General features: G+C 45.3%; 1 protein-coding gene and 1 pseudogene across 1 annotated transcript in view, besides 1 other annotated feature; one reads left to right on the top strand and one right to left on the bottom strand.

Annotated features, from left to right (window-relative positions):
• Positions 1 to 25,311, top strand: part of CREG2 (cellular repressor of E1A stimulated genes 2) — a 41,954-nt gene that overhangs the window by 9,474 nt on the left and 7,169 nt on the right. The window contains exon 3 of the mRNA NM_153836.4: positions 22,664 to 22,777. Coding sequence (NP_722578.1) covers positions 22,664 to 22,777 — 114 coding nt within the window. The remainder of the gene's footprint in view (positions 1 to 22,663; positions 22,778 to 25,311) is intronic.
• On the bottom strand, positions 1,972 to 3,635 carry LOC107985789 (succinate dehydrogenase [ubiquinone] cytochrome b small subunit, mitochondrial-like; annotated as a pseudogene).
• Positions 7,032 to 7,533: an enhancer, noted in NCBI's record as "H3K4me1 hESC enhancer chr2:101986959-101987460 (GRCh37/hg19 assembly coordinates)". NCBI's record gives its function as "activates a minimal SCP1, AML or CMV promoter by ChIP-STARR-seq in naive H9 embryonic stem cells {active_cell/tissue: H9 hESC(naive)}" and the evidence as "EXISTENCE:reporter gene assay evidence [ECO:0000049][PMID:30033119]".

Raw genomic sequence — 25,311 nt, 5'->3', positions numbered from 1 at the left:
ATTCATTTGATTGTGGCCATGCTCACACAATATATATGAACATCAAATCATCACATTGCATATGTTGAATATATTCAATCTTTATTTGACAATTAAATATTTTTAAAATACTAAAAGATTAGTCTAAAAAGCCATGAAAGGAAGGTGGCTTTTCCACTTGTCAGGCATCATACCCATACAAGTCGGAGCCTACCAACATGTCTTGCCTAATAATTGTTAGTTTATTTAAAGTCTGTTTTATCCAATTATTCTGTTTACTCCTGGGTGCTGTGATGCCTTCATTTAATTAATGAGATGAATTAGGGGTGGGAATCTATTTCCCAGCTCAGGTTAAAATGGCAAATGGAGAATAACTGTCTAGTTTAAAAGAGTCACTTGCAATCAGCAACGCCCTCTCCTCTTTATTTCCCTCTCCCTCCATGGCATAAGCATGGACGCATGCCCCTTGACCAAATGAATTTGTGCTCAGCCAAGAAATCTACTTTGTGAAAATTCAATCAATATTGATTGACAAAGAAAGGCCACCCAAAAATGTCTCTTTCCCTGCAATATCTTCCCTTACAGAGCATGCAGCCTTGAATAGCATGAGTTTTAGGTTCGCACCTTCTTGGTGAATCAGGGCAGCAAGCCTTTGGGACCGGGGAGGACTCGTCTGTGGGGTGATATTCTCCCTGATCGTATTGGATCAATTTTCATTTTGAAGATCAGGATGTAAATGAAACCCAAAGAGGTTTTATCAGATGCTTTTCCTGAAATAAAAACATTTCTTTTTTTTTTTAAGAGTAGAATACATTTTTGTTATACAACAGTTTGTGTGGTTTAAAAAAATTTCTTTTCATAGAGTATATTTTCACATTAGAGATTCCCACAGTGGGAAAAAAATAACAATTTATCACTTAGAGTTTTATATTTGTGGACAGATCGTTTTAGTACAAGTAAAACATCTTTGGGAATTAAGTCTCAGTTTAGAATTTATAATATTTTGATACATCTCCAAGGGGGGGCCTAATCTTTAAATGGAACTTCTCTATATTCAGAAGCTCTCCAAGCTTTTCTTCCTAGGATTTAGAAATTCATGATGTGAGAGGAAATCAGCATTTCCTAATTTTACAGTTTCCCTAGTCTAGCTGGTGTCTACTGACGAGAGGGAAGTTTTCTAAAATTAAACACTGTCTAATTTTCTGCAAAGTTTTTCTTCATGAATTAACAGTATTTCCCTCTGTCCATTATTCCCGGGGCAAATAAAGGAGAAATTTGATCATGTGATGGTAACAAAGCTGGATTCTCTTTAAGAGATTATTAAATTAAAAGGCAAAAGCTCGTATCATGTTGAGTTATACTGTGAGTCTTGTGAGAAGCTGGGAGGCAACCCTACCAGAATACAGAACTCGGTCTCACAATTTTTGGGTAAGATTCTTCTCAAACCTTTTTCCTCAAAGATTAAATTCTGGGCCAGGTGAGGTGGCTCATGCCTGTAATCCCAACAATTTGGGAGGCCGAGGCAGGCAAATTACTTGATGTCAGGAGTTCAAGACCCACCTGGCCAACATGGTGAAACCCTGTCTCTACTAAAAATACAATAAAATTAGCCATGCTTGGTGGTGGGGGCCGGTAGTCCCAGCTACTTGGGAGGCTGAGGCATGAGAATCGCTTGAACCCGGGAGGTGGATGTTGCAGTGAGCTGAGATCAGGCCACTGCACTCCGGCTTGGGCAACAGAGTGACACTCTGTGTTAAAAAAAAAAAAGAAAAAGAAAAAAATTAAATTCGGAAAATAACCACGTGATTAAGAGAAGATGTCTGTTCAACGGACTTCTCTGTTATTTCCTCCCTGTTGTAAGTTGAATGGCACAAGAAAGCAGAGGCGAAGAGGCAGACACCAGTTTCCCTTTCCTTCAATAACATAAGCATGGACAGGTGTCTCCCGACTACATAAATGTATGCATGGGTTTAAAGTATTCCATCAAAAAGATCAGAGCTTCCACAGCATGACAGCAGCTTTGCAGATGCCCATGTCGTGACAGTTGAAACAGCACAGCCCAGCAAAGCTGAAAGCTGAAACTGCCGACAGGCCTGCCTTGACAGCCTTCTGAGATCCACCCCCTTGAACACAGTCAGTAACGACTTGTCCAAGGCCCCAGTGACTGTGGAGAGGAAGGGGTGCAGCCGCAGCATAGGCCCTTGCAGAGCAATGGTTCAGATAAGCAGCTGGGAGCAGGTCCAGGAGTAAAACACTGTCAGCCCTTTCACTAGTTCAGGGGAGAGACACAGCCTTGGAGCCAGAATGGTGGCTCGGTGTCAGGTGAATGTGCCGCACCCCACCCCGTCCTGGGGTAGGGTGGTCCCGAGGAAATGCCTAGACGTGAGCAGGTCTGACCACTGGAGTTTGGAGAAGCAGAGCTCGGCCTCCTGGGGTGCCACAGAGGGCACTCAGCCACCTCACTCCTGAGGGCTCCTGAAAACATTCCTATTGATAGTTTTGGACACATGCTAGTTTCCTAGGTAGACTGGTTTGATTATCAAGAAAGGAGGATCCAGGAGTACTTTTTCCTCTTCCTCCAAAGGCTCTTAATGAAAGATGGCCATGGGCCACACCCCTTCTTACTCCCCCAGGATGAAGGCGTCCCTGCCCCACCATGACCAGTGGCTCTTGGCAGAGCCCTTTGATTGACAGGCCTCGGTGTGGTTTTGCAAACTGAATAGATTCCAGTTTGCAAAGGAATCTAGTTTCTGAGGGGAGGTGCCAGACCATGGAATGGATTGAAGCCCAGTGGGCCTCAATGAGACCTAGAATGGAAGCCTCTCAGAAATGAGGATCCCTCGGAACAACTTGCTTGTAGGGGCGCATATTGAAGATGCAAATTAGCACTGAGGAATCACACACCAGAGAGGGACTGCTCACACCAGAGAAACTGGGATAGTGTGCGGGGACGTAGATGTAATCCCTGCCCTATCTCATAGGCAGTCCCTTATACTGCAGACACATCAACAGGAAGAGGAACTGCTTCTGTGAAGCAGAGTAACTGAGGGGAGGGTGTCAGCAGGCGGGTCAGTTTGCCTTTATGTTGTGGGTTCAAGATAAACCCTTAGTGCACACAACTAAATGAGGGTGCACCAAGTTTAATTGTTTCTTCTGTGTGAAAAGTAAAAAGAGATTCTGGAAATGAAAATGGCCTGTGGCCACTCCTCCCCCAGCCTCCATCTTTTTAACTATACTGGTAGGAAGAAAATGTGGAATGATAGATGAAAACCTCAAACCAATCTAATTCCAAAGGCAGGCCTGGGATTTGTTCCCCTAGAACTGGATTTAGCACTCTATTCATTCAGTCATTTTTAGATGAGCTGGATCAAGCGAACACACAGTGAGCACCTGCTTGCAGCAGCTGGCTTGCTAAGAGCCAAGACGTATCTCTGTCTGGAGTCTATATCCACCTGAGACAGAATGTGCATTTCAAAGCCCAGGGCCCAGACCTAATCGGTTATAGAAACTGAATCCAATTTCTCTTCACTGAATCTTGTTCATTCCTTTTGAAAGGAACATATAAGTTTAAATAAATTGCTCTGTGTTCTGATTCATGTTACCTCTTCTTTGCTGCACCTTCCTGTATTCCTAGAGCTAACATTAACCTGAGTCATTTTTGTTGTTGTTGTTGTTTGAGACAGTCTTGCTCTGTCACCCACACTGGAGTGCAATGGTGCGATCTCAGCTCACTGCAACCTCCACCTCCCAGATTCAAGCAATTCTCCTGCCTCAGCCTCCCGTTGGACGGGACTACAGGCAGGCGCCACCATGCCTGGCTAATTTTTGTATTTTTAGTTGAGATGGGGTTTCACCATGTTGGCCAAGCTTGTCTAGAACTACTGGGCCTCAAGTGATCCACCCACCTCGGCCTCCCAAAGTGTGTCACCACACCTGGCGGATAGCTCTTTTAAAAACGACTCAGGGCAGGCCGTTGAGTCGATGGGGTGAAACCCCATCTCTACAAAAAATAAAAAAATTAGCCAGGTGTAGTGGTGCACGCCTATAGTCCTAGCTACTCAGGAGCTGAGGTGGGAGGCTCCATTGAGCCCAGGCAGTTGAGGCTGCAGTGAGCAGCGATCGTGCCACTGCCCTCCAGCCTGGGTGACAGAGTGTAGACCCTGTTCTCAAAAAATAAAAATAAATAAAACAGCTGTCTAGGAAGAGTCAGAGAACTTTGTAAAGAGAAAGCTTGATGAGCCAGTGTTCAAGTATTCTCTTTCACCTTCCTCTGGTTTCCGAGGTCATATATCATAGTAACCTGCAGTCACTTCTTTCTCCCTAATTTTATTTCAACTCTGTTGAGCTTTGTCTCTGTGGTTCCTGTCTATTTCATGAATTCACTAATGATTGTAGTTCCTCTGCCATTGCACTATCCTTTTCCTCCATCTTCTGACCACCTGTCCCCATCCAGCTTATCAATGTTTTATTTATCTGTTAGACATGACTCCATCTTAAGCAGAAATGACACAAATAAGTGATGAGGATGTGACACCCATAAATATACATCCACCAAAAAGCTTTCAGGGCTGTTAAGATGGACATAAGGGTTTCATTTCAGGACTTTTAGCCCCTGGCAATCATTAAGCTTCTTTCTGTCTCTATGGATTTTCCTATTCTGGACATTAATATATGGGTTTCTATGAATGACTTCTTCCACTTTAGCATAATGTTTTCAAGGTTCATCATGTTGTAGCATGTGTCTATAATTCATTCCTTTTTATGGCTGAGTAATATTCCATTGCATGAATATACCACATTTTATTTATCCATTTTTATTTATCCATTCGTCATGAGTTGATGAACATTTGTTTCCATGTTTTGGCTCTCATAAGTGATGCTGCTATGAGCATTCATGGACAAGTTTTTGTGCAGGTATATGATTTCATTTCACTTTGGTATATACCTAGGAATGGAATTGCTAGGTCTTATGGTAACTGTGTTTAACTTTTTGGAGAACTGCCCAACTGTTTTCCTAAATGTATGAGGGTTCTGATTGCCCTTTGTCCTCACCAACACTTGTTATTGTCTGTCTTTTTTATCATACCTGTCCTTGTGGGTGTGAAGTAATATCTTGATGTGGTTTTTGATTTGCATTTCCCTCATGACTAACGATGCTGAGCATCCTTTTGTGTGCTTATTGGCCATTTGTATGTCTCCTTTGGGGAACTGTCTATTTAAACCCTTTACCCATTTTTAAATTTGGTAATCTTTTTATTGTTGAGTTGTAAGAGTCTTTATATATTCTAGATATGAACCTTTTTAGATATATGACTTGCAAATATTGTGTTTATGTGTCTTTCTCTAATTTTCTCTTCTTTTGTCTTGGAAGAAGCAGGAAAACTGCTGAGGATTCAATATTGACATTCCAGTTGCACATGTTCTCTGTCAATGTCCTTTTGTGCTTATAGGCTGGGCTTTTCCCATCAGATAAGCAAATAATTAAAGTAACATTCCTGAGATGACAAAGAAGTGTACCTAAGTTCTCTAGTGTGTAGAAATGGTAAGAAAGTGTCTAAACATGAGAAAAGATTTCAATTAACTGAAAGGAATTTGGGAGGGAAAGCTGTTACTCCAAACGTATAAAGACGAGGTAGGGAGATACTAATGATAAACTCAATTCAATTAAGCATACTGAGTACAAGACAACGTATTAAATATTGTGATGAAAATAAGACTTTTTTCCTTCAGATGAGATTTACTGAGCACTTACTATAAGCCAGGCATGCGTAGGCGTGAACACTTAAAGGCACAGGCTCTTCTTGCCTCCTTGCTTACTTGTCACCATCATTTGAATCAAGACAACAAGGTGTAACACGTGACCACATATACAAAGTCCCCTAACAGTTAACACCAAGGCTGTCCACAATAGGGGAGCTGAGTAGGGTTCCACAGCGTGGCTGCCATTTCCCCCACCTTGACATCCTCATTCCCCATCTGTAAGTCCTTCCATCCATCTACCCATCATCTCCAGCTCCTGCCCAACCTGACCTGGCCTTCAAAAATAAGACACTAAGCTCCTCCTTGGTGTTCCCTCCCTTCTTTACCTCTTTCTTCTCATCTTAAGACTATATCTCAGTTTTCTAGTCCTACGGACTAGAGTTCCCTCACCGATTTATTCCCCAGGATTTCATTGTCTTCCTCTCTTGTGACTCAGCCTCCTGGGACTTCCCAGTCCAAGGCTCCTCCCTCTGAAAAGCCCATACCATTCCCTGGTCTTCTAGGACAGCCTTGCTGACCTTGGTTTGTGCAGCCACTTCCATCCTGCTTGTTTGTCCTTGAGGTCTCTGCAGCACGGGGAGAGCTAAGGCCAGCTGGGGCTGCTGGCCAGTGTGACCCTCGAAGCAGCAAAGCTTCCCCTGTAAAATAAGATGAGACTCCATTGTGCTTAGAAGTATTTATGGCCTGGAAGGGCCCTGGCCATCCACTCCTGCCTTTCATCGTTCAGACTAGGAGGCTGAGGGGCTGAGAATAGCAAGACAGAAAAATGGACAGTGCAGCAGTTAGTCTTCATGACCATATCCTGCTCTCTGCTGCGTGGTCTCTACAGACAGTTCCAATCCTGGCTCAGCCTCCCTTTCCCTTTGGCCTCTGCTCTCCCTGTAGCCACCTTCTTCCCTTTAAATGAATCACCCATTCAAATGGCAGGCAGGTCCCTTTTTAAATGCATTGTTTGTGGTGCATCTCTAACGAGATGAATAGCAGGCTTTTGGAAAGGACAGTTGAACAGGCACTGCAGGGAGGGCGTCACTCCATAGCATGTGTCGCATATTAGACTAGGGGGCACCTCCTGGATCCTCCGTGATGCAGAAAAAGAAAAAAGGCAGAGCACCCCCTGAGGCTTCCTTTGGTCCATGGAGGCCTCTACGGGGAGGGGGCAGGGGTCATGGGTCTATTCTTGACATCTGCCATCCAGGCTGAGGCACAGGGACCCAGGGCTGAGTAGCAAGAGATCTGCCTGCCCAGGACAGGTCCTGGCAGTGTCTGCAGAAATGGCAGAGGGAACTCAGAAGGAATCTGAGACGTGGTTTCAGAGTGGCCTCCAATCAGAGGTCAGCACTGCAGCAAGACCCTCAGCAGGCGGGGAGCTGCCAGCGTGCCCCGTTTCAGTCCCAGAGGATCACCTGATCCTGAAGATGAGCCAAGAGGGCCCTGGGGTGACCCTGACACCTGCTTTCTCAGCCTGGCTGCTAGCTCAGGGCCTGGGAGCAGGTCTGAGGCCAGCCTGACCCTGCTGGGCTTGATTCTGGAACCATTTGGTGGGCTTCAGCATGACTAAACCCTGCTCAGGAGCAGCCTGAGCCCAGGAGAGCCACCTGATTCTGTTGAAAATGCCAATTCTGGGCTCCAGCAGTCTCTGAAAATAAGGGCCTTCGGATCTGCACTTTCAAGGAACAGCCAGAGTACTCCTGATCCACAGTTAAATAAGAGGATCACGACATTAGAGAAAAGGGCTTCTAATTTGAGGATCATCAATTTGAGTCCTAAGCCCTCCCATTAATATCTGCCTGGCTTTGAGAAACTTAATTTGTCTGATTCTCAATCTCCTTCACCCTAAAATGGGAATAATAGTACCCTAGGTCCACTGTGGGGATGAAACGTTTCAATTTGTGTAAAGTTTTGAGCACACTCTCAGCACCAATAAATGGTAGCTATGGTCAGTAACAGGTGTTTCTTCTGCACAGGACTGGGATGGCAGAGACCAGAAAAAAAGATGGAAATTAATAGTGCCCTATTTATACTCTAACCCTCCTATGTATAAAGGGAGGAACAGTATATGGTATACATGAAGAGTTATAGAAATAACTCACCTGATTCTTATAAGAGTCCCAAGACAGAGGTACACTTGTTAGCACCTTTTTAAAGATGAGGAAACTGAGGCACAGAGGGTGTGAAGGACTTGCTTAAGGATCCACAGGCCAAATCCTCATAGGGCTGGGATTCACTCCTAGGCAACCTGGCTCCCGAGCCGGACTGTTACCCACTGTATTCCCTGCCTCTGTGGAATCAGCTGCATCCCAGAGGCAGTGAGAACCCCCACCACGTTTCAGAAAGCACTGATGCAGAACCAACAAAAACACAGAAGTATTTTTTAAGTTGATTTGAATTGTTCGAATATCATGTCCATCATAGGCTTGCACTGCAACAGAGGCAAGACATGAAACTTGCTCTAAATACGTGCACGCAGGTCCATGCAGGCCACCTATTCCAATAAAGCATTCGCGTGGACAAATACTCACTGAGCATCTGCTGGGTAACGAGCCATGCTAAACACCGTCACGGATAAATATGAAAAAAAGAGAGCATCTGCCTTTGAGGGGAGGGAGAAGGTATAAGACGCACATGGAAATACGCATCTTTCAAGCTGCTTGTGTTAAATCCCCTACAAGTTATCGGCCTGTAGAAGATTGGTGGGAGAGAGAAGCTCTTTTGAGCCAGTGGTGTCTTCTCTGTCTACACCTCTTCCTGCTCTATCCAGTCTACCCTCAAACCTCCATTCATATGTGCCAGTGACTCCCAAATGTATAGTCCCAGCTGAGACCACTCATCTGAGCTCTAGACCCAAGTCCACCTGCTTCCTGGGCACCTCGAACCCCGCTTCTTCTCCTCCCCAGAGGCCTCCTCTACCTGGGCTCCCTGTCTGCATGGCAGACTCAGCTGCCAGCTGTGGCTCCTTCTCCCTCTCACACCCCCACCCAGTCTGCAGGGCTCACCTGCTCTACCTCCCAGGCTTCTCCCGACTCACTGCTTCTCTCCACCCCCTGGCCCAAGCCCTTGGCATCACTCACTGTATTCTAAATTCTCCCAACTAGGTCTCCCTGGATCAACCCATTCTCCATTCTAAAGCCAGAGGGATATTTTCAAAACACCCGTCTCATCATTCTACTGTCCAGCTTAAAATTCTTCAATCCTTCCCATTGCTCTTTGGAGAAAGTTCTAAAGTCTTAACATATCCTGCGAAGCCTAAATGGCCCACCCCGGCACAGTTCCAGCCTCGGACATCACTCTCTTGCCTTGTCTTTATCCTGGTCCCAGTGGCCTTTTGGCTCTCAGTCTGTGCAAATAACAGTAACAAAATACCACAGACTGGGTGGCTTAGAAACAACAGAAACTTATTTCCCACAGTTCTGGAGGGTGGAAGGCCAAGGCTGAGGCAGATTTAGTGTCTGGTGAGCACCTGCTCTCTGGTTCAGAGGTGGCATCTTCTCACTGTGCCCTCACTTGGGGCAAGGGGCCAGAGAACTCTCTGGGGCCTCTTTTATTATAAGACACTAATCCCATTCAGGAGGGTTGGAAGCACTTTTGTCTAGCGTGCTTTCCCTGCCCACCACCTTATCTGATTCCTACTCATTTTCTAGGGTTCAGCCTTCATTGACCCTCAGAACTTCATTGACTCTCAGGATTCCATGTTGTAATAGCAGGTGATGAAATCACTAATTGCGTGGCAAGCCGTCTGGTGTCTGTGTCTCCTGCTGGAGTGCAGCTCCCCAGAGGCCAGGACCACGTCTTTCTTGCTGTCTGCAGCCCTCAACAAGTGCAGAGCCTTGAGCACAGTGTGGGGCCATTTATTGGTTGCATATGAGGAATATTCATGGGGGCATTAAGGAAGAGCGTTTTCATTTCCCATTGCTGCTGTAAGAAATTGCCACAGACTTCGTGCTTTAGAACAGCACAGACGTATTCTTTTTTTTTTTCTTTTTTCTTTTCCCTCTTTTTTTTTTTTGAGATGGAGTCTCACGCTGTTGCCCAGGCTGGAGTGCAATGGTGCAATCTCGGCTCACTGCAAGCTCCGCCTCCCGGATTCAAGCAATTCTACTGCCTCAGTCTCCCAAGTAGCTGGGAACACAGGTGCACGCCACAATGCCCAGCTAATTTTTTGTATTTTTAATAGAGACGGGGTTTCACTATGTTGGCCAGGCTGGTCTCGAACTCCTGACCTCGTGATCTGCTCACCTCAGCCTCCCAAAGTGCTGGGATTATAGGCCTGAGCCACCGTGCCCGGCCACAGATGCATTCTTTTAAGGTCTAGAGGGCAGAAGTCTGAAATGAGTCTCACAAAGCTAAAACCAAGGTGTGGGCTGAGCTGCTTCCTTCTGGAGGCTACAGAGGAGAAGCCGTTTCCTTGCCTTTTCAGCTCCTAGAGGCCGCGTGCATTCCTTGGCCTGTGGCCCCTTGCTTACCTCAATCTCAGGGCTTGCTTCTGTCATCCCACCTCCTACTGCTCACTTGAAACTTCTGCCTCCCTCTAGGAGGATCTTCTGTTTATATTGGGCCCACTGGATAATCCAGGATAATCTCTCTCTCTCAGGATCCCTAACTTAATCACATGTGCAAAGTCCCTGTTACCATATGAAGTCACATTCACACATTCCGGGGATTAGGACTTCTTTGGCATCTGGGGATTAAGACATCTTTGGGCGAGCTGCTATTCCACCTACCTCAGGATGGAAGTAACAGTTTAAATGGATGTGCAACTGGAGATAGAAACATGGTGATTTATTCTAATGTATGCTACAGCCCTCTTTGGTATGTTAGAGGTGTCATGATTGCACTTATTTATAATACAAATGTTTTAAATATAGAAATTAAAATGGCTCAAACACATGTGAGATTCAATTGATGAAGATAAATTTTAATATAATCTCAGCATATCAAAGTTATACATAAATGTGAAAACTCAAAGGAAAGGGGTCATCATACATTGAACCGTCTTGCTAGACAGTTCCTTGACTCTCAAGAGTGGACTGTTCGAACACGCCTGTTGCTCTCCTGTCCAGGAAGTGGGTCCACATCCCCCCTTTTCTGGTGCCATCTGTTGTGTGTGGCTGGCCAGTGTCTATTGAATCACAACATTTGACACTGGATAAGAGAAAATTCTAACCCAAGATGAGTAAGGAAATGTAATGGACCACTCTTCCAGTTAAACACATACATTTATCCCTTGGTATCCATGGGCAATTGGTTCCAGGAACCCTCCTCCAGCCCCCCACCAAAAGACGCCAAAATCCGTGGATGCTCAAGTCCCTGATATAAAATGGGATATTATGCATATAACCTACGCACATCCTCCTGCGTACTTTAAGTCATCTCTAGATTACTTATAATACCTAGTACAATTTAAGTGCTCTGTAAATAGTTGTTATACTATATTGGTTTTGTATTTGTATTATTATTATTCTTATTATTATTGAGACAGAGTCTCACTCTGTCGCCCAGGCTGGAATGCAGTGGCGCGATCTCGGCTCACTGCAACCTCCATCTCCTGGGTTCAAGCGATTCTCCTGCCTCATCCTCCCAAGTTGCTGGGATTTCAGGTGCATGCCACCACACCTGGCTAATTTTTGTATTTTTAGTAGAGATGGGGTTTTGTCATTTGACCAGGCTGGTCTTGAACTCCTGACCTCAGGTGATCCGTCTGCCTCAGCCCCCCAAAGTGCTGGGATTACAGGCATGAGCCACTGCGCCTGGCCTATTTGTATTATTTTCTTATTTTGTACTGTAGCTTTTTTTTTCCTAAATATTTTCAGTCTGTGGTTGGTTGGATCCACAGATGCAAAAATCCATGGATGTGGAAGGCCAACTGTATGTCCAAGGCTTCTGAACAATACACATTTCATTCAGAGAAATCAGGGAAGTCATGGATGGGAACATTGAATTGAGGAGTAAAAGAGACATCAACAGCCTGAAAATGGGCAAGCGTCATTCAGAGTCTCAAAAATCAGAGGTTGGGAGGATCTGTGGGTAAACACAAATAACTTACATAGTGATTCTGGAACGGCTGTTGAAGAGATGGTTTCTGTGCCCTAAGAGTAGGAAGAAGTGGCCACCTACAGGCAATATTGGTTGGGAAGGATGTCATGTCAAAAGACCATCCTTTTCTTTTATGGTTTTCCTAAGATGATGAATTAGGAAACTATTGTGGATTTCCCTGAGGCATTCGAAGAAACTTGCATGGTCATATTCTCATAGACAAGATGGAATAACGTAAACTGGGGAATAATAACTTGGGCAGATTTATATTTGCTTATTTCTCTTATATCTAATTTCACAATGGTTGTGAAACTGTGGATGAATGAACAATTGGGTGAATGACCAAAAGGGTCTACTGGTAGGGCGGGGTTTTATCTGAACTCTATGTAGGAGGTTTCTGCTTCCTTGACCTTTCACAATACCCTGAAAAGTAGGGGGAAGGGTTCTGGAAGCCAGAGGAAGGATTCTGGGGTTGAACCAACTGGAAGCTTGATACAGTGAGAGACACTGAAAAATACATATATGGGAGACATAGAAATTTGTCAAGAGAAGCCAATGTCATAACCAGGAAAATGGTGCCAAGAAGGATGAACAAAACTGGGAAAAAAATTAACTAGGACAGTATGAGGCATTATACTGGTATGCTGTAAAATAAAATAAAAACTAAAAGCAAGATATTAATAAAATAGACAAGCTTTTTCTGTGCCCTAAGAATAGGAAGAAGTGACCACCTACAGACAATATTGGTTGGGAAGGATGTCATACCAAAGACCATTCCTTTCTTTGATAGGTTTCCTGTGATGATGAATCAGGGAACTATTGTGGATAGCATCCCTAGGAGGATGGAGTAGAGGGTGGTGGAGGTGAGACGCCTCCCCAACCTTGCTCACCTCCTGCTGGAGTTTCAAGGGCAGTTCTGGATCCCATAATTTAACAGGAACATTGACAAGCTGGGATGTCTGAAAGCAGCCAGCCTGGAAAGGAGCAGTCTCAGGAACAACACAGTGCTTTCTGCAGATGCCGGAAAGGCTAGCACCGAACAGGAGAATCCTATTTGTTCTAGGGTTACCCTAGGGAACAGGAATAAAACTGGCAGTGGAAGCTGCAGGCCTCACCATTTTCCTCTCTGCTGCCATCCTCTTGTTCTTGCCTTCAGCACTGTGTGGAAGGCGCATCCTACACTCCAGCTTCTCCAGCCAGGTTCTCACCACCCACACTCCAGATTTGCTAGCAAAAGCACCACATCCAGAATTTCCATTCCACGCCTCCTACGCTTCTTGCTTGTGCAACCCTCCTGCAACATGCTTGGACCACATGGAGCTGCCAACCCTTTGCCCCCATCACGATCCTCCCACCCGTCAGCATGTCCTGGCTCCCCTTTCTCTTTGCCCAGGTTAGACTCCATGGTCTATCTTTACGATTGCCCTGAGACCACCTACACCTCCTCTGACCCTCTTGCCTCCTGCCTGGCCATACCCAGCCCCTTTAAGCCCTGCTTCCACCTCCTCTGTTCCTGCACCCAGGTGGCTCAGGTCTGCCCAGGGAAACCATGTGGCCAAACTGAGGCTGCCCCTTTCAATTCATGAAAAGAATCCTCACATGCATTCTCAGCACGCCTAGAACATCCCATTTCATTTCCCCAGTAAGAGCCCTTTTTTAAAGAACAAACCTAAACGTTCCCCTTCATTCTCTCTCAGTTGCAGATGACACCCATACTTATTTGACACAGTACGAAATCACACGAGGCAACTCACTCCTCTCCCTCCACTAAGTCGAAAAATTTACCTGCATTTCCACCAGTGGATCTCAAACAGGGAGCTGAGAGACTCCTCCCCAGGGACATTTGGCAATGTCTGGAGACCTTTTTGGTTGTTACAACTTGGGTTGGGGTGGGAGGTACTGCTGGCATCTAGCAGGTAGAGCCCAGGAATGCTGCTAAATACTCTATTATGCGAAGGACAGCCCTCCACCTCAAAAAATCATCCAGCCCAAAATGTCAACCGTGCCAAGGTTGAGAAAGCCTGGTCTACACCTACCTTCCTTCTGTTACTATCTGGCTGGATACATCAGGGAGAGACAAAGCCTTGTGACATATCTCAATGGGTTCTATTGGCATTTGGGGTAGGACAGTTCCTTGTGTAAGATCGTCCCATGCATTGCAGGACATTTAGAATTCCTGACCCCTGCCAACCAAGTGCAAGGAGATAGAGCCCCTCAACCCGGTTTCTGTGACAACCAAGATGCTCCCCAGATTTCCAGTTGCCTTTTATGGAGAGGAAACTTCTCCCAGTTGAGAACCATTGTACAATGATGGTGATTTTATCATTTGCAGGATTGGGTGGTCCAATCCACTTCCTTTCTTCCTGTGTGTGTGTCTGTGTGTGTGTGTGTGTGTGTGTGTGTGTGTGTTTGAGACAGGGTCTCACTCTGTCACCGAGGCTGGAGTGCAATGGCATGATCATAGCTCACTGCAGCCTCAGTCTCCTGGGCTCAAGTGATCCTCCTGCCTCAGCCTCCTGAGTAGCTAGGACTACAGGTGTGCACCACAACGCCCGGCCAATTTTCTCTATATTATAAAAAAATCAAAGGTTAAACAAATATTTTAATGTCATTTGTTCAGTATGTTTATATATAGGTATAATTTCTGAAATCCTCAAAAAACGTAATACATCCTTTCCTCCAATATTTTTCTTTACCACTGAACACAAACACATAAAAATAAAACAGACTTTTAAATATACTATCAAGACATAAAGTGTTTGGGAAGGTTACATGTATTTTTAGAAAAACGCATCCCTTGTGAAGCTCTTACAAAATTGTAGCCCATAAAAATATGAGTGTAAAAGAAATTGTTGTAGCAAGAGAAGGACTACTTATCTCCGAGAAGGTTAACTATCCAGAAGGCAAGCTTCACGTTTAATTGGAGATCATTTGAGTACAAGAGCACTGCCTTATTGTGTCCTTTATGACTCCTCAGGTCCATGTAATCCACTCCGCTGCATACAAAGTGCTGTGACTGATCATTCTCCCAATTCAGAAGCATTCTGGAATCCCCAGTACAATGGCGTCCATGCCTTGGGCATGAAACCCACCCGCTAAGAACAGATATTTGATCCCTTGACTCCCTAGATTGAATCTTCACATACCATTATAGGCCCTGTTATAGGAAAAATAAAAATAAAAAGGTTAAAAGAAGCTCCTGGCTGGGTATGCAAGCATTTCACCCAGCAGAGGCCACCTGTTGAGTGCTGGGTGGGGACCAGGCCAGCCTCGATGAGTGAGCACAGTCAGGGTCCGGAGGGCAGACGTCACAGTCCAGGACAGCTCCTGCCACTCTCCACCAGGGTCCTCAGGCAGGAAGGACATCCCTCTGGGCTCCCCAGATGGCCACTTTGAGAGCCTGGATCAGGCTTTTCTGGTCCTACCCTTGAGACCTGAATCCTCTTGGTTTACAAGCTGCCCATCCTCACAGGGCATGGGTAGCTGACTCTAAAGTCAGGTGAAAGGGGGAGAAATACCCAAAAGAATGTCCACTGGCCTGAAGGAGAGATGCAATCAGCACAGCCCATGTCCTTCAGCTCCCAGGGTCACCCACACCAGTGAAACACAAATGAAATAAGTAAGCTCGCTCAAGTTGCAGGAGGTAGAGAGCCCAAAGGGACACCCCAGGGTGCTTCTTTATTGCCTTTATGAAAAATAGCTCATTGATTGCTATTAACACATCTAACAGTAGGTGGGCACGCCTCCACCACATCTAAGAACAGAGACAAACAGAGCTCCAGAAACTTGAAGCCCTGTAATTAGTGAGCAACCTTTCAGTTGAAAGAAATAGAAAAGTAAGCTCATATGGACTTAAAGAATTGTGAAATTTAACAGTTCACTTAACTGAAAAATTCAGAGGAAGGATTTTCTTAGGGGCTAAACAATGTCAACGAAATGAGATTTTTTTTCTCTCTCCCTCTCTCCTGTGGTGTCTGTTTCATTTTAAGGGTGGCTCCTTTGTAATCCAGTGTGGCTGCCCCCCAGGTACGGATCCTCCCCTGTTTATGTCCAACAAAAGTGAGCATCTCTCCAGGTAGACTCCAAAGAAGAGTTAGGGGGATTTCCACTCTGGAAGTCCTCAGCAAGCAGCTCCTTGAGCTTTCGTGACCAAATTTGCTGTTGTGCCGGTCCCTGAATCCATCACTATAGCCAGGGACTGGAATATGCTGGTTGGCTTAGGCAATCCAGGTTCTCGGGACCTGGGGATGGACTAGGGTTCCTGAAGCTGCGTGTGAGAGGGAAGTGGATGCCTCAACAATAGATGAGATCTGTTACCCAGAGGAGGGGCAACACCTCCTACAGCCCTTGTTTACCAAAGTAGCCTCTCACCAATTGACAGCATGCATCAGGGTCCCCAGGGTGCTCAGGGCCCTCTTGCCTAGCTGGTGCTGCATTTGCTGGCCATTTCAGGGGTGCAGCTGCCAGTAACCACAGTTGTGTTGCACTCCTGTGACTAAGGGTGGGGCTGCCATCCAACTTCCTTTAGATGGTGTATTAGTTTCGTATTGATGCTGCAAAAAATTACCACACCTTACTGGCTTAAAGTAACCCAGATTTATCATGTTACTGTCCTGGAGGTCAGAAGTCCAAAAGAGGACTCACCAGATTAACACCAAGGCGTTGGCAGAACTATGTTCCTTTTTGGAAGCCCTGGGGCAGAGTCTGTTTCCTGACCTTTCTCAGCTTCCAGAGGCTGCCTGCAACCCAAGGCTCGTGCCCCTTCTGTATTCAAAGCCAGCCATGGCCAGGCAGGTCTTTCTCAGTCAAATCACTTCAACGCTTTCCACTTAATGATCCTTGTGATTGCCTTGGGCTCAGCCAAATCATCCAGGATGATCTTCCCATCCAAAATCAGCTGATTAGCAACCGACTTCCTCTTTGCCATGTAAGGGAACATATTCACATGTTCCAGAGATTCGGATGTGGACATCTTTGGGGGGCCATTAGCCTGTCTACCACATGTAGAAGGAAGTGATACCAAGTTTAGCTGGGTTTTCCACTGTGTAAATGCAAAGTTTTCTATTTGCCTTTTAAAATATATAATCTCCTTTTTATTTCTATGTAATTACCCACAGTAGAGAAGCAAAAATGCTCCCTATGTAAATGTACTGTGTTATTATTCTATAATGACTTACATCTGAAGGTTAATTTCATTGCTTTCATCACAGAACAATTTAATGAAGAAATTAGCTTTAATAGTGAACAAATAAATTGGGTGCAACTAATGACAGTATCATTCAGACACAAATTCTAAATATTTTTCATATATGTGAATTCAGTTTCTTCTTACAATTTTTACTTCTTTTCTCCTATGCGTCTCAGTTATTTTTACAAAGATATAGATTTGGCTTTTGTTACATAGATTACATTCCATCATTCTTTCATCTTAACTCAGAAGAAAAATTTACAACTTAACAACCACATTTTTCCAGTATCAAAACTACCACAGATTATAATTTTCTTTCTTTTTTTTTTTTTTCTGAGACTGAGTCTTGCTCTGTCGCCCAGGCTGGAGTGCAGTGGTACAATCTCTGCTCGCTGCAACTTCCGTCTCCCAGGTTCAAGCTATTCTCATGTCTCAGCCTCCTGAGTAGCTGGAATTACAGCTGCCCACCACCACACCCGGCTAATTTTTGTATTTTTTTAGTAGAGACAGAGTTTCACCCATGTTGGCTAGGCTGGTCTCGAATTCCTGATGTCAGGTGATCTGCCTACGTTGGCCTCCCAAAGTGCTGGGATTACAGGTGTGAGTCACTGCACCCAGCCCTTTCTTTCTTCTTTTAATGGAGCCACACAGCACATATTTTTCTTGATAACCAAAATGAGTCACTGAAGCAACTGTCTCAATCAGTTGAGATTTATTAAGGTAACCTCAGTGCATGTCCAGGAACACGCAAGCCACAGACCTATCTGTGGCTATTTTCCTGAAGAGGTTTTCAGGAGGTTTAGTATTTGTACATTTTCTTAAAGGGGAGAAAGGCATGTAGGAAGAGAGGCAGGTAGGTGGTAAGGCAATGGTTATATCTTTGTGAGACTTTAGTTAGTGCCCAGTAAATCAACATTTTACATAAGATAAGGTGAATGTTTGAAAGAAAAAAAGGGAGTAAAGGAAGAATTTATTATGCAGATGTCTCTGGGTAAGCAGAGGAATGATTGATCTAGTCTTGTCTTTATTCTGCACCTGGGAAGATAAGCTTGCAATTGAATGTCAATTCCATTATCAGCATGGAATCAAACAGACTTTAGTTTCAGGAGCCAGACTTAGATTGCAGACCTAAAGTTGCAATTGGCATGTCCTTGTTTATGGGAGGCCAGCAAAAAATTCTTATGAATGGTCTCTACGGGCAGTCATTTGGAGACCCCTGAAGCCTTTCATCTTTTCCCAGGGAGTCTGGTTGATGCATAATGCTGGTAACAGCGATTTATTTGGAAGAGGGAGTTGCATAACTCAACCTCTAGGCTTAACCTTCCCTTTGGCATAAGGAGTTTGAAGGTCCAGAGATTTTTAAAATTTCTTCAACTGTTTTTATTACTGTAGGTAGCTAGTCAGACATGAGCAGGCCAGGAGAGGGCCCAATCCCACCCCCACCAGGAATGTCGGGTGACTATCAGGTGGTGGTCAGGTGGTTGTTAACTGTCTCTCTAAAAAAATAATTGGTCACACCCAGTGCCAGGGAAAGGTAGTCTCCCAATAGATAGAAAAAACCTGAAGTTGGTGATCAGCGACTTCCTACTAATATCTCAGGAGCCGGGTAAGTGGGCTCACATGTGTGCACCAAGACGAAAACTGGCGGAGTTTAACTGGTATGTGACCTTATACGAAGACTTGACTGGTAAAGGAAGAACATCTCAAGTGAGCATGTGTACAAGTCCCATAAATGCACTGTGCATGCTCACCTCCAAGAGCTGGCAGGCCACTGCACATGCAGACAGCCCACCCCAAGGGAAGAATCAGAGAGAAGGGATGCAAGGCCCCAGAAGTGTGCCAACATATAAAACCCTAGGTCAAAGGTCAAAGCATGCACTTGATCTCTCAAGTTGCCCGCTTGGCCCCCTCTTCCAAGTGTACTTTACTTCCTTTCATTCCTGCCCTAAAACTTTTTAATAAACTCTCACTCCTGCTCTAAAACTTGCCTCAGTTCTCTCTTTTTTTTTTTTTTTTTTTTTTTTTTTTTTTTTTTTTTGAGACGGAGTCTCGCTCTGTCGCCCAGGCTGGAGTGCAGTGGCGGGATCTCGGCTCACTGCAAGCTCCGCCTCCCGGGTTCACGCCATTCTCCTGCCTCAGCCTCCCAAGTAGCTGGGACTACAGGCGCCCGCCACTACGCCCGGCTAATTTTTTGTATTTTTAGTAGAGACGGGGTTTCACCGTTTTAGCCGGGATGGTCTCGATCTCCTGACCTCGTGATCCGCCCGCCTCGGCCTCCCAAAGTGCTGGGATTACAGGCGTGAGCCACCGCGCCCGGCCACCTCAGTTCTCACTCTGCCTTATGCCCCCCTCAGCTGAATTCTTTCTTCTGAGGAGGCAGGAATTGAGGTTGCTACAGATCCATACAGATTCACTGCTTGTAACAGTTTTACTTATATCTTTGTCATGGACACCTATAGCTCTATCTCATCTATTTTAAAGGCTGTATGTTATAGTATTGATAAAACTTAATTTATTTGTATTTCCCCACTGCTAAGCTTTTTGGTTACTTCCAATTTTTGCCATCATAAACAATTCTATGCAACAGGCTCTTTTTTTTCCCATGTGGTAGTATTTTTTTACCCCCAAGGCAAGCTTTTGAGAAAATGTCCCAGCATGATATTTAAAAGTTTATAATCAGATATTGGGATAAAGAATCCATAAACCTTGGGGACTGATTGGATCTGGGAGATAGAGGAGAGGTGGAGTCTGGGATATACCCAGATATAAGGGACCAGATGGGGCTGGGCACGGTGGCTCACGCCTGTAATCCCAGCACTTTGGGAGGCCAAGGCAGGTGGATCACTTGAAGTCAGGAGTTTGAGACCAGCCTGGCCAACATGGTGAAACCACACCTCCATTAAAAATACAAAACTTAGCCAGGCATGGTGGTGTGAGCCTGTAATCCCAGCTATTTGGGAAACAGGCAGGAGAATCGCTTGAACCTGGGAGGCAGAGGTTGCAGTGAGCTGAGATCGCGCCACTGCACTCCAGCCTGGGAGACAGAGTGAGACTCTGACCAGATGACAGGTAGCCTAGCTTTTTTTTTTTTTTTTTGAGACGGAGTCTCGCTCTGTCGCCCAGGCTGGAGTGCAGTGGTGCAATCGTGGCTCACTGCAAGCTCCGCCTCCCAGGATCACGCCATTCTCCCGCCTCAGCCTCCCAAGTAGCTGGGAGGTAGCCTAGCTTTCTACTTGAGACCAGAGGACCTCAGGTAGGGTGCTACAGGCCTGGCTGCACCCCTGTGAGCTCCATGGCCCTGGACAACTTAACCCCTCTGAGTTTCACTTTTCTTACTTCTAAACAGGGGTTAATAATAAAACCTCCTAGGGTTGTCATGAAGATCAAACAAAATGAGGTGATGTACAAATGTCCTTGGTATAAAAATTAACAAATCTTACTACAGCAGCAGATGATGGAATACACATCAAAGCCATTCAGAAATACTGAAAACACTATGTGAATGTAAGTGACTAATATTATCATTGTGCTGCCTCATCCTTGAACCATCTTCCCAAACACTTATGGACACAGCTTGCAACAGCATAAGGCACAAGCTGTGGCCAAGAAGAGCTTTCTCTTGTGGATTTACATGAAGCCAGTCTCTAAATGACATTTGGAGAATCAGATTCTCTTGTTTATGCTTCTTCCAGAAATAGGCACCCTGACATGATTAGTAGGAGGTGACAGCTTTAAGTTCCCTTCCCCACAGGCCAGGCACGATGGCTCACGCCTGTCATCCCAGCATTTTGGGAGGCTGAGGCGGGTGGGTTACCTGAGGTCAGGAGTTCAAGACCAGCCTGACCAACACGGTGAAACCCCATCTCTATTAAAAATACAAAAATTGGGCTGAGCACAGTGGCTCACGCCTGTAATCCCAGCACTTTGGGAGGCTGAGGCGGGCGAATCACAGGGTCAGGAGTTTGAGACCAGCTTGGCCAATATGGTGAAACCCCGTCTCTACTAAAACTACAAAAATTAGCCGGGCGTGTGGTGCATTCCTGTAGTCCCCACTACTCAGGAGATTGGGGCAGGAGAATTGCTTGAACCCGGGAGGCGGAGGTTGCAGTGAGCCAAGATTACGCCATTGCACTCCAGCCTGGGTGACAGAGCGAGACTCCATCTCAAAAAAAAAAGAAGAAAAAGTTCCCTTCCCCACATCGTCACTGCCAGGTGACCTTTACAGTGGAAACAAGTCTTAGGATAATTCTGTCACCACAGAAACATTTCTTAGCAAGCAGTCACAAATATGATCACACTACTGTTCTTATTATTTCTAATATGCTTTTTGCTGATTAAGGAACCCTCCAGTGCAGGTTCTGACAGCAATATTTGAAAGCCCTTATTCCAGTCACTGCTGGATCCAGACAGAAGCGTTGTACTACTCCAGGGATGCCATTCCTATTACACACACATCCAACACCTGCCAAAATTTTCTTGTGTCCATTTGATGTGTTTTGTTTCTGCAGTTAAAAAAAAAGAAAGAAAACCCACCTGACATGAGATCTACCCTGTTAGTAAATTTTTATGTGCACAATATTATTTTGTGAACTCTTATGTTGTACAGCAGATCTCTAGAACATATTCACAACAGAACTGAAACATTGTTCCCTCTGAATAATAACTCCCCATTTTGATAGGAATGGGAGGCAGGAGGGCAGGGCCCCTGGCAAGGGCTCCACCCTCAAGCCTGGACCGGCAGCCCTAAATGAGAACAGGCATTCCTGTTTTTGAGCCAGAATGTTGATTTTTGGCCTGCCCTGCCCCCACATCCTGGGCCCATATAAACCCCAGACCGCAGCTGGCAGAGGGAAAAGCAGCTGGACTTCGAGAGGCGAAGAAGCAACTGAGAGTCGGAGAGGATGGATAGATGCAGCTTAACTTCAGACGGCATGACTTTGGAGAGGAGCCTGGCTGAAGATGGCCAGGCCTCAGGGAAAGATCACCTTCCTGCACCAGCCCCTTTTCAGCTCTTCTGCTGAGAGCCACTTCCACTGCTTCATAAAACCTCTGCACTCACCAGCCTTTAAGTCTGTATGACCTGATTCTTCCTGGATGCCAGACAAGAACCTGGGTACCAAGAGGGCAGGGTGTACGTCACCCTGACTCGCCACTGAGCTGATTAACACTTAGCCATCACTGACGGCAACCACTAAAAGAGCATTGTTTGTAATACATGCCCTCTGGGACTCCAGAGTTTGTGGGCAACTTGGTACAGGGTTCATTCCTGCCTAAAAAGGCACTCACCCCAGCTCCTGAACCTGCTCACCTGTGTACTCCCCCTCCTGCAAGCAAAACAAGCACTCCCACCCCCCCGAACCCCACCCTACCCCACTGTCGCAAGTCCCTCGAGGGGGTCAGGGAACTTTCCCGTCTCAATTTCCTCCACCCTCAAATGTGCACTTTTGCCTAGGGCGCTTCAGATGTTATCTCACTGCCCCAGAATGCAGACTGATATCTAACCTACATAAGCACACCTATTGCAAGGCCTGAGTATTTTAAAGTAACTATCCGTAACATAACCTGAATGATATAACCAGGAATATCCATAACCTGAATGATATAACCAGGAATGTGACTACTATTTTTAAGTTTATAAAATCGTTAGAATTGCTGGCTGATGTTCTGTCCTTGTTCTGATATACAAAAAATGTTTTTCACATGCAGAAAAAACATCGTTGATCCGGAAGATCCCCGATGTGTCCAGTTAACGCTCACTGGCCAGATGATCGCAGTGTCTCCAGAAGAAGTAGAATTTGCCAAGCAAGCCATGTTTTCAAGGTGTGTAAATGCTTTAAAATTTATATGCCCAGAAATACACAATACTAATAAGCAGAGGTCAGGCTGTGCCATTAGATGCCTCTGATGCAATAAGTGATTGGTCTCCACTGCCCTTCGGTGGGAATAGGGCCAAGCTCAGCCTGGCTATGGAGATCACTAGCAGTGGCAGCAGAAGCCGGGTGAATGCCTCTGGAGAGCACTGCACTGAGCTATTCCAGGTACAATTCCTACCTACTTCCAACCTTTGACAATGCCCTGCCTTGCCGTGAAAATAGCTGAGCCTTCCTCGTCAACACAACGTTTTCAAGCATCCACTTGAAACAAAGCCCATTGCCTGCTGGGGATGCCAGCGCAGCGTTTCTCAGTGTGGTGCTCTCGCTCTTACATCAGTAGGCTGCTGACTTAGACGCAGCTTTATGGGCCCAACCCCAACCTACTTACTGAATCAAACTCTCCGGAAATGAGGCTCAGGAATCTGTATTGTGAAAGGCATGCTCCAGGAAATTGATATGCATGCTAAAGTTTGAGAACTACTGCTGTAGGGGTCCACACAAGTGAGAGGGGGGCCCAGCCTGGAGTCAGAGCTTGTGCAAGCAGAGGACCGCGCATGCACGCGGGGGTGGCCTTTCCACAGGTGTCCATGCAGGGACCGCCGGAAGTGCAGGCTCGGAGCTGGGGTGCAGGCTGGTGCAGCAATGGAAACAGGCTAGAAGGCATTGGTCTGCAGTAGAGGGAGAGTAACACGAAGGCAAGTGTTGAGCTGGAGGGGCGATCCACAACCCCATGGGAAGAAGATCCTGCACGCAGGGATGCAGTGAATAAGCAAGCCTTGTAAGGACACAGAAAAGGGCTAAAGGCACAATCGGAGAAAACTAGAATGATTGGGATTGGATATGTTCACATGAGCTCATGGCTTTCAATACCTAAAGAAACAGATGTCAGTGTGCGTGTGTGTGTGCGCACAAACGTTTTTATTTTTTATTTTTATTTTTTATTGCTAGCTTTTAAACTCAACTCTAGTTCTTTAGTTCTTCTCCTCTCACATGTTATTATAAGCAATGAGAAGAGGCCAAAATCTTCCCTAGATCAGTGGGTTCATTAGGTTCATTTCCTATTTTCTTTTTTTATTTTTATTTTAAGTTCTGGGATACGTGTGCAGAACATGCAGGTTTGTTACATAGGTATACATGTGCCATGGTGGTTTGCTGCACCCATCATCTAGGTTTTAAGGTCCCCCATACATTAGGTATTTGTCCTAATGCTTTCCATCCTCTTGCCTCCACCCCCCGACAGGCCCCGGGTGTGTGATGTTCCCCTCCCTGTGTCCATGTGTTCTCATTGTTCAACTCCCACTTATGAGTGAGAACATGCAGTGTTTGGTTTTTTTGCTCTGGTGTTAGTTTGCTGAGGATGATGGCTTCCAGCTTCATCCATGTCCCTGCAAAGGACATGAACTCATCCTTTTCTATGGCTGCATAGTATTCCATGGTGTATATGTGCCACATTTTCTTTATCCAGTCTATTATTGATGGGCATTTGGATTGGTTCTAAGTCTTTGCTATTGTAAATAGTGCTGCAATAAACATACGTGTGCATGTATCTTTATAACAGAATGATTTATAATCCTTTGGGTATATGCCCAGTAATGGGATGGCTGGGTCAAATGATATTTCTGGTTCTAGATCCTTAAGGAATCGCCATATTGTCTTCCACAATGGTTGAAGTAATTTACATTCCCACCAACTGTGTAAAAGCATTCTATTTCTCCACAGCCTCGCCAGCATCTGTTGCTTCCTGACTTTTTAATGATTGCCATTCTAACTGCCATGAGATGGTATCCATTGTGGTTTTGATTTGCATTTCTCTAATGACCAGTGATGATGAGCTTTGTTTCATATATTTGTTGGCCGCATAAATGTCTTCTTTTGCTTCATGACTAAAACACCAAAAGCAATTGCAACAAAAGCCAAAATTGATAAATGGGATCTAATTAAACTAAAGAGCTTCTGCACAGCAAAAGAAGCTATCATCAGAGAGCAAACGGGCAACCTACAGAACGGGTGAAAATTTTTTCAATCGACCCATCTGACAAAGGTCTAATATCCAAAATCTACAAGGAACTTAAACAAATTTACAAGAGAAAAACAAACAACCCCATCAAAAAGTGGGTGAAAGATGTGAACATTTCCTATTTTCTACCTAACTACAGACAACAGCATTGCCAAGTTTGCCTACCACTACATAATGTAGATCCCTTTACCTCCAGCTTTCAGTAGCTTTTTCTGCTTTTATTTTTAATTTTAGAGGCAAGGATTTTTTCTTTTGTGCAGGCTGGAGTGCAGTGGCGTAATCATATTTCACTGCAGCCTTCAACTCCTGGGCTCAAGGGATCTTCTTGCCTCAGCATCCTGAGTAGCTAGGACTACCCACAGGCACCACCTTTTTTGGAGACAGTCCAGGTCTGTTGCCCAGGCTGGAGTGCAGTGGCATGATCTCGGCTCACTGCAACCTCTGCCTCCTGGGTTCAAGTGAGT

The sequence above is a fragment of the Homo sapiens genome, chromosome 2 (genome assembly GCF_000001405.40).
Source record: "Homo sapiens chromosome 2, GRCh38.p14 Primary Assembly".
NCBI lineage: Eukaryota > Metazoa > Chordata > Mammalia > Primates > Hominidae > Homo > Homo sapiens.
This window is presented reverse-complemented; position numbering and strand designations above follow the sequence as displayed.